Source organism: Homo sapiens, chromosome 2 (assembly GCF_000001405.40).
Source record: "Homo sapiens chromosome 2, GRCh38.p14 Primary Assembly".
Lineage (NCBI taxonomy): Eukaryota > Metazoa > Chordata > Mammalia > Primates > Hominidae > Homo > Homo sapiens.
The window spans coordinates 88,421,981-88,431,696 of NC_000002.12; the positions used below are offsets into that span (position 1 = coordinate 88,421,981).

Sequence of the window (9,716 nt, forward strand, 5' to 3'; positions counted from 1 at the left end):
CAGCCTCCCACGTACCTGGGATTACAGGCATGCGCCACCATGCCCAGCTAATTTTTGTATTTTTAGTAGAGACGGGGTTTCACCATGTTGGCCAGGCTGGTCTTGAACTCCTAACCTCAGGTGATCTGCCCGCCTCAGCCTCCCAAAGTGCTGGGATAACAGGCATGAGCCACCGTGCCCAGCCTAGATTTAGATTTGTGTTCTGCATTTCATGCCTGTACCAGAAATACCACCTATGTACTTTACTGAATGAATATCATACACTGTGACGGTAAACCATACAACATACAACATTACCTTCCACAAAGAAATTCACTTCATAGGCCGGGCACAGTGGCTCATGCCTGTAATCCCAGCACTTTGGGAGGCCGAGGCAGGCAGATCATGAGGTCAGGAGATCGAGACTAGCCTGGGTAACATGGTAAAATCCCATCACTACTAAAAATACAAAAAAATTAGCCGGGCTTGGTGGCACGCACCTGTAATCTCAGCTACTCATGAGGCTGAGGCAGGAGAATGGCTTGAACCCGGGAGGTGGAGGTTGCAGTGAGCCAAGATGGCGCCACTGCACTCCAGCCTGGATGACAGAGTGAGACTCCATCTAAAAAAGAAAAGAAAAAAAAAAAAAAAAAAGAAATTCACTTCATAATAAACAAAGTAAGCAAATGAGATGACACCCAAAGGATTTATTGGTCCTCCCATGTTCCCCATCAGTCAGAAAGAGCTGCTCTTGTAGAATGCTATTCAACACTCGGTTTAAGAAACTAACCTGCTGGTGTAGAATGGAAGTACGTTTTAAAAAGAAAAGAAAAAGAAAAAAGAAATTAACTTGGAGTCAACATCTTGAAGGTTGGAATATTATCTTACAAGATGCCAGCAAAAGTAATGGCGCTCTTTCTCACAAAGCAAAAATAAAATGACCAGAGAACAAAGGGGTGGAGCTTGGGAATCATACCTCTCATAATTATACCAAATGAGAGACTTAACAATGTTTGCTTCCCATTCCAAAAGCTCTGGGCTCTGATGATTTAGAAGAAGGACGGATTTTGCTTATATTAAGGACACAATAATGATTCAAACTGAATTGGGAGCTAAGACAGCCCCTTGTCCATTTTGAGGTCTCAAAGAAAGGAAGGAAGAGAGGAATGGGAGAAGAGAAAAGGAGCAAATGGAGAGTGAGAAAGATGGAGAGGAGTGGGAGAGGCAGGGAGATCAAGATTTTCTTATAGTTCTGGAGGTTGGTTTTTTATTGTTGTTGTTTTCTTTTTTCTTTTTCTTTTTCTTTTTTTTTTTTTTTTTGAGACGGAGTATTTCTCTGTCACCCAGGGTGGAGTGCAGTGGTGTGATCTCAGCTCACTGCAACCTCTGCCTCCTGGGTTCAAGCGATTCTCCCGCAGCCTCCTGAGTAGCTGGGATTACAGGCATTGCCACCATGGCCAGCTAACTTTCGTATTTTTGTAGAGATGGGGTTTCACCATGTTGGCCAGGCTGGTCTTGAACTCCTGCCTGAGTTCCACAGGTGATCCACCTGCCTCGGCCTCTGAGTGCTGAGATTACAGGCATAAGCCACAACGCCCAGCCAAGCTCTGGAGGTTGGAAGTCTAAGACCAGGGTGCCTATATGGTTGGGTTCTGGTGAGGGTCTTTTCCTGGCTTGCAATAGCCGACATCTGGCTACATCCTCAGACCACAGAGAGAGATAGAAAGAGCAAGAGTATCTCTTCTTATAAGAACACTAATCCTGTCAGGAGGTCCCCATCCTCATGATCTCATCTATACCTAATTATCTCCCAAAGCCCCCATTTCCAAATCCCAACACATTGAGGGTTAGGGCTTCAACATACGAATTTTGGGGAAAAGATATCTGGCCCATAGTGCCATCTTAATTAAGTGATAAAATCCACCAATAACAGGACAAATTGATATCACATGTCTTCTAATATGATGCAATAAGAACAAGATTACTTCTGTGAAATTCCTGCTAAAAATACATAACCTGAATTAGTTCATGAGAAAAATATGAAACAAATCCAAATTGAAATACATTCTGCAAAAGAACTGACCTGTTGTCCTCAAAAATGTCACTCATGAAAGACATGGAAACTGAAGAACGGCCCCAAATTGATGAAGACTTAAGAGATGTGACAACTAAATATTATGTGTGATCCTGGGTTGGATCCTAGACCAGAAAGAAAACGTTGGTTACAAAGGACATTATTAAGACAACTAGCATTGGGGTATGGTGGCTCACGCCTGTAATCTCAGCACCTTGTGAAGCTGAAGAGGGTGGGGGCCTTGAGCTTCAAGCTCCTTGATTTCAGGAGTTTGAGACCAGCCTGGGCAACATGGTGAAACCCCGTCTCTACAAAAATTAGCGGGGCATGGCGGCGTGTACCGGTAGTCCCAGTTACTCGGGGGCTGAGGTGGGAGGATTGCTTGAGCCTGCGAGGTCGAGGCTGTAGTGAGCCTAGATTGCAACACTGCCCTCCAGTCTGGGTGACAGAGCAAACCCTGTTTCAAAAAGAAAAAAAAAAAAAGAGAGAGAGAGAGAGAACTAGCAAAATTTGAAAAGGGTCTATGGATTAGTTGTAGTACTTTATCATTATGAATTTCTTGGTTTTGGTAGTTGTATTGTGATTATGTGGCAGAGTATGTTTCTTTGAGGAAAATATACATACTGAAGTATTTATAGGTAATGAAGTGTCATATCTGCAAAGTTCTCTGAAATGATTCTGGGAGAGAGAGAGGTTAAATGTTAATGGAAAATCTGGGTGAAGAATATACAGGAATCTTTGCACTATTCCATGCAACTTTTTTATATACGTGAAATTATTTCAAAATAGATAGTTAGAAACAAACATTGACCTATATAGTGTGTTGGGAAAAAAAGTAACCCCCCCCAAAACAAACAAACAAACAAAAAGATGAGTTTAAACCAGATTAGGGGGTAGTAAGTAAGCTTGAGTTTGACCAGAAGACAAACACCGCAATTGGTATTGTGTATTATGAAGGCGCTCAACTATGAGCCAACAACAGAGTGGGAATACTGGATGCAGTGTTCCTGCTGTAACCCAAGACCCTCAGAAAGGGCCATCATTCTCACATCTTGATAGCACCCCCAGCTGACAGTGGAAGCATACATAAATTGTCTTTGGAGAAAAGCCAGGATTCTCACAGATTTAGATCAACCAAATATGAATTCACAATAAAGGAAATTGACACATAAAGACACAAGTCATAATAAATGACAATAAGCTGAAATCATCAATAGATTTAGACTTCTATAGACTTCAAATATTGGAATTATCAGATATAGAGTATAAAATATGTACAAAAGGTTTATAAAATAAAAGATGGAATTGTAAGGCTAAGTGAACAATAAGAGACTATCCAAGATGCCAACGCCAAGTTGAAAAAGAAACAAATAGAAGTTTTTGAAATTTAAAATGGTATTGCTGAAATTTAAGAATCAATGGAAGATAAGTTGGAGTCCAGGGATAAAAGAAGAGAGAAATAGTGACTTGGAAGGTGGAGATAAAAATATTATGGGTCAGGTAACTCAGAGAGACAAGGATTTGAAACATATGATAGAGTGGTTAAATATATGGAATGAGAAATGTAACATATATGTAATCATAGTCTCAGAAGCAGAGAATGGAGGAGAGGTAATATGTAAATAAATTATGACTAAGAAGTTTTCAGAACAGTTAAAAGTCATGAGTCCACAAAGGAGGACAACATATACCAAGCAAGGTAAACAAAAATAAATTCACATCTATATATGTTTTAGTGAAACTGTAGAATACCAAAGGCAAAGATAACATCTTCAAAGCAGCCAGAGAGAGAAGACCATTCCTCTCAAAGAGATGAGAGTTATTCAGACAGCTGTTAACAAAGGCCAGAAGATATGGAATAACATCTCCAAATGGTTGAAAGAAATAAAAGTCAACCTAGATTTCTGTGTCCTGAAATTTTACTGTCTTTCAATATAAGGGCAAAATTAAGCATTTCTATGCTAATAAAATCTTAGGGAGTTTATGGCCAAGAGAACTTCACCAAAAGAACCATTATTAAAAGAAGAGGCTGGATGCGGTGGCTCACGTCTGTAATCCCAGCACTTTGGGAGGCTGAGGAGGGTGGATCACGAGGTCAGGAGATGGAGACCATCCTGGCTAACACGGTGAAACTCCATCTCTACTAAAAATACAAAAAATTAGCCGGGCATGGTGGTGGGCGCCTGTGGTCCCAGCTACTTGGGAGGCTGAGGCAGGAGAATGGCGTGAACCCGGGAGGCGGAGCTTGCAGTGAGCCGAGATTGTGCCACTGCACTCCAGCCTGGGTGACAGAGCAAGACTCCGTCTCAAAAAAAAAAAAAAAAAAATCAAAGCAAAGTTGTTTTTTTTTAAAAATACAGCTGTATGGCCAGGAGAAGTGGCTCACACCTATGATCCAGCACTTTGAGAGGCTGAGGCAGGAGTACTATTTGAGGCCAGGAGTTGAAAACCAGCTGTGGTAACATAGTGAGATCCCATCTCTATTAAAAAAAAAAAAAAATTAAAAGACAGAGAAAAGGCCGGGCTTAGTGGCTCACAGCTGTAATTCCAGCACTTTGGGAGGCCGAGGTGGGCGGATCATGAGGTCAAGAGATCGAGACCATCCTGCCCAATATGGTGAAAACCTGTCTTTACTAAAAATACAAAAATTAGCTAGGCGTGGTGGCATGTGCCTGTAGTCCCAGCTACTCGGGAGGCTGAGGCAGGAGAATTGCTTGAACCCGGCAGGAGGATGTGCAGTGAGCTGAGATTGTGCCACTGCACTCCAGCCAGGTGACAGAAAGAGACTCCGTCACAAAAAAAAAAAAAAAAAAAAAAAAAGACAGGGTGAAAAGTATACCTATAAGATTTACTTCAGCAAGAAGGGAATGATACCTGAAGAAATGCAAAAAGAGATAGAACACAGGCCGGGCATGGTGACTCATGCCTGTAATCTCAGCACTTTGGGAGGCTGAGGCAGGCAGATCATCTGAGGTCAGGAGTTCCAGACCAGCCCGGCTAACATGGCAAAATCCCATCTCTACTAAAAATATAAAACTTAGCCAGATGTGGTGGCACTCACCTGTGGCTACTTGGGAGGCAGAAGACACAAGAATCGCTTGAACCCAGAGGAGCAGAGGTTGCAGTGAGCCAATAACAGACCACTGCACTCTAGTCTGGGTGACAGAGCAAGAATCCATCTCAAAAAAAAAAAGGGGATAATGGGATAGTGAGCAAAGAAAGTAATGAACACTTAGGTAAATCTAAACAAATATTGCCCTCATAAAATAATAAAAATACTGTTTAAGGACAAGGGCACTACTTGTTCTCTTCCCAACCCCAATACTCACAGCTTCACCATCAAAATCTGCCTTGTAAGCCATTAGGACTTATCCCATGTGCCCTGGCTCTATTTAGCCAGTCATCAAGAAATCTGAGATTTCTCCATCATCCCAAATCACCTGGACTCACCCTTGTAAACTTCTGTACTGCTTTTTATCTGACATTATCTCCTTAAACCTCCAACACTTCCTCCACCATTCTATTTTTGTTTGTTTGAGACAGGGTCTCTATTGTCCAGGCTGAGTGCAGTGGCACAATCTCAGCTAATCAGAGCCTCCACCTCCCAGGCTCAAACTATCTTCCCACCTCAGCCTCCTGAGTAGCTGCGACTACAGGCATGCACCACCAAGAAGCCCGGCTAATTTTTTTTTTTTTTTTTTTTTAGAGACAGGGTCTTGCTATGTTGCCCAGACTGATCTTGAACTCCTAAGCTCAAGAGATCCTCCCGCCTCGGCCTTCCAGGGTGCTGGGGTTTGTAATCCACAGCACCTGGCTTTTCCACCATTCTTACTTGTTTCCTACTTTCAGTTGATAACTTGGGGAGCCCTCTCTTCCTCTCACACCCCATATCAAATGCATCCGCAACTGTTGTATCAACAGTTATATCAGGTCTCTGGGGTGATATTTGGCCAAGAGGGGTAATCTGGAGCAATCCATGGCTGGGTGAAATTTGGGAACCCCAGGTGCCAGTCTGCCCCACTCCCTGCATGCCTTGTTGCCATGCCTCAGAAAATTGAGGAAATCAAGCACTTTCTGCTCACTGCCTGGCGAAAGGATGCCAAATCTGTCAAGATCAAGAAAAAGAAGGACAGGCCGGGCGTGGTGGCTCATGCCTGTAATCTGAGCACTTTGGGAGGCTGAGGAGGGTGGATCACGAAGTCAGGAGTTCAAGACCAGACTGGCCAATATGGTGAAACCTCATCTCTGCTAAATATACAAAAATTAGCCGGGCATGGTGGCACATGCCTGTAGTCCCAGCTACTCGGGAGGCTGAGTCAGGAGAATTGCTTGAACTCGGGAGGCAGAGGTTGCAGCGAGCCGAGATCGTACCACTGCACTTCAGCCCAGGGGCAGTGTTAGACTCCGTCTCAATAAATAAATAAATAAATAAATAAATAAATAAATAAATAAATAAAAGAAGGACAATGCGAAATTTGAAGTTCAATTTAGCAGATACCTGTCCACCACGGTCATAGGGAAAAAGAGAAGGCAGAGAAACTGAAGCAGTCCCTGCCCCCTAATTTGGCAGTGAAGGAGCTGAAATGAACCATACACACTGATTTGAACTGTATTAAAATACTAACACACACACACAAAAAACAAACAACTATATCAGTTCTTCCTTTAAAATACATCCAGGTACAGGTGTGGTGGCTCACGCCTGTAATCCCAGCACTTTGGGAGGCCGAGGTGGGTGGATCACTTGAGGTCGGGAGTTTGACCAGTGTGGCCAACATGGTAAAACCCCGTCTCCACTAAAAATACTAAAAATTAGCTGGGCATGAGGGCAGGCGCCTGTAGTCCCAGCTACTGGGGAAGTTGAGGCAGGAGAATTGCTTGAACTCAGGGGGCGGAGGTTGCAGTGAGCCATCATCACGCCACTGCACTCCAGCCTGGGCAACAAGAGCGAAACTCCATTTCAATAAACAAACAAATAAATAAATAAATCCAGACTCTGACCAGAATCTCTTCTTCCCTTCCACTGCTACCACCTTGATCCAAACGACCGCTATCTCCTCACAGCCTCCTGCCTGATTTGCCTATCTCAGCCCTCTCTCCTGTACCACTCATTCTCAGACTCCGTAAGCCTGATTTATTCTTCTAAAGCTCAAGTCAGATCCTTCCTCTCCATCTTTTTTGTTTGTTTGTTTGTTTGTTTGTTTGTTTTTGATTCGGAGTCTCACTATGTCGTCTGGGCTGGGACGCGGTGGTGTGATCTCGGCTCGCTGCAACCTCTGCCTCCTGGGTTCAAGCAATTCTCCTGCCTCAGCGTCCTGAGTAGCTGGGTTGGTTAATTTTTGTATTTTTGGTAGAGACGGGATTTCACCATGTTAGCCAGGCTGGTCTCTAACTCCTCACCTCGTGATCCGCCCACCTCGGCCTCCCAAAGTTCTGGGATTACAGGCGTGAGCCATGGTGCCCGGCCTTTTTTTTTTTTTTTTTTTTTTTTTTTTTTTGAGACGGAGTCGTGCTCTGTCACCCAGGCTGGAGTGCAGTGGCGCAATCTTGGCTCACTGTAAGCTCCGCCTTCCGGGTTCACGCCATTCTCCTGCCTCAGCCTCCTGAGTAGCTGGGACTACAGGGGCCCGCCACCATGCCTGGCTAATTTTTTTTGTATTTTTAGTAGAGACAGGGTTTTACCGTGTTAGCCAGGATGGTCTCGCTCTCCTGACCTCGTGATCCGCCTGCCTTGGCCTCCCAAAGTGCTGGGATTACAGGCGTGAGCCACCGCGCCCGGCCCTAATTTTTGTATTTTTCTCAGTAGAGACGGGGTTTCACCATGTTGGCCAGGATGGTCTGGATCTCCTGACCTCGTGATCCGCCCGCCTCGGCCTCCCGAAGTGCTGGGATTACAGGCATGAGCCACAGCGCCCGGCCTTTCCTCTCCCCCACTTAAGAAACATCCTACTGTTGCTTATCATCTCAGAGTAAAAGCCACAGTGCTCACAATAGCGATGAGGCTTTACACCTTCCGTCTTCCCGCACACCCTCTCTGAGCTCATCCCTATCACGTGCTTGTCATGCTCCACCCACCCAAGCATTCTAAGCATTCTTCCATCTGTGGGCCTTTGCATTTGCTCCACCCTCTGCCTTAACCCTCTGCCCTGATAACCCAGCGAGAATTGTACATGAGCTGACATATTTATGCTGCATCAAGGTCACTGTCATCTTACCATATCAAACTGAAAATGTCACTGCTATCTGGACAGTAAGACATGTTTTATTGAGTAAATGATTTTCTCTGTTTCTATGCTTCCGCACTAGTGGTTTGTTTAGTAATAAATATGTGTGACCAGGCCGGGCGCAGTGGCTCACACCTGTAATCCTAGCATTTTGGGAGGCCGAGGCGGGCGGATTGCCTGAGCTCAGGAGTTCGAGACCAGCCTGGGCAACACGATGAAAGACTGTCTCTACTAAAATACAAAGAATTAGCCGGACATGGCGGCATGTGCCTGTAGTCCCAGCTACTCGGAAGGCTGAGGCAGAAGAATTGCTTGAACCGGGGAGGCGGAGGTTGCAGGGAGCCGAGATCTGCCACTGCACTCCAGCCTGGGCAACAAGAGTGAGACTCCATCTCCAAAAAGTAAAAATAAAAATAAATAAATATGTGTGACATTTTATCTGACAAAATAAAAAAAAAGGAAATAAATAAAAACTTGAGTTGTTTTTTCTGGCCTGTTCACTGCCCCTTCCCACCGCAGCACGCTGCCCATGTTTGACCCATCTGGAATGCCTTCTCCTTATCCATTTGGGAGCTTCAGGGAGGCCTTCCACAAAGCCCCAGACCTCAGGCCAAAATCTTAGGGAGTTTATGGCCAAGAGAATTTCACCAAAAGAACCGTTATTAAAAGAAGAAGCCAGGTGCGGTGGCTCACGCCTGTAATCCCAGCACTTTGGGAGGCCTTGTTCTATCTGTAACAACACTCTGAATATTTCCTTTATGGAATCATAGAGTTATTTATACAGTTATTTGCTTAATGGCTATCTCTCCTTTTGGAAATACTTTCATTTGTATTTTAAAATTTTAAATTGTAGTAATTTATTTATTTATGTATTTCTTTATTTATTTTGAGACAGAGTCTCACTCTGTTGCCCAGGCTGGAGTGCAATGGTGCCATTTCACCTCACCACAACCTCCATCTCCTGGATTCAAGCAATTCTCCTGCCTCAGCCTCCTGAGTAGCGGGGATTACAGGCGTGCACTACCACACCTGGCTAATTTTTGTATTTTTGGTAGAGACGGGGTTTCACCATGTTGGCCAGGCTGGCCTTGAACTCCTGACCTCAGGTGATCCGCCGGCCTCAGCCTACGAAAGTGCTGGGATTACAGGCGTGAGCCACTGCGCCGGGCCAAATTGTAGTAATTTATTTTTGAATAGGAAAATATTTACATCATTCACACTGTCAATGATGTACCAAAGGCTGTGCATTGAAGCCTCCTTCCCACTCTTCTCCCAGCCCCTCCACTCACCTCTCCAGGATGTCCATATAACTAGATTCTTGTGTTTCTACAAATAATATTTTATGCATATGTAAACAAACATACACCTATTCTTCCTCTTCCCCACCACCTTTTTTTTTTTTTGCACAAATGGTACTAAATTATATACATTGGTCTTTT

The 9,716-nt window shown here is 44.2% G+C and overlaps 1 pseudogene; it reads left to right on the forward strand.

The window, feature by feature from the left end:
- Nucleotides 1–6,094: 6,094 nt before the first annotated feature.
- On the forward strand, nucleotides 6,095–6,640 carry RPL38P6 (RPL38 pseudogene 6; annotated as a pseudogene).
- Nucleotides 6,641–9,716: the final 3,076 nt, after the last annotated feature.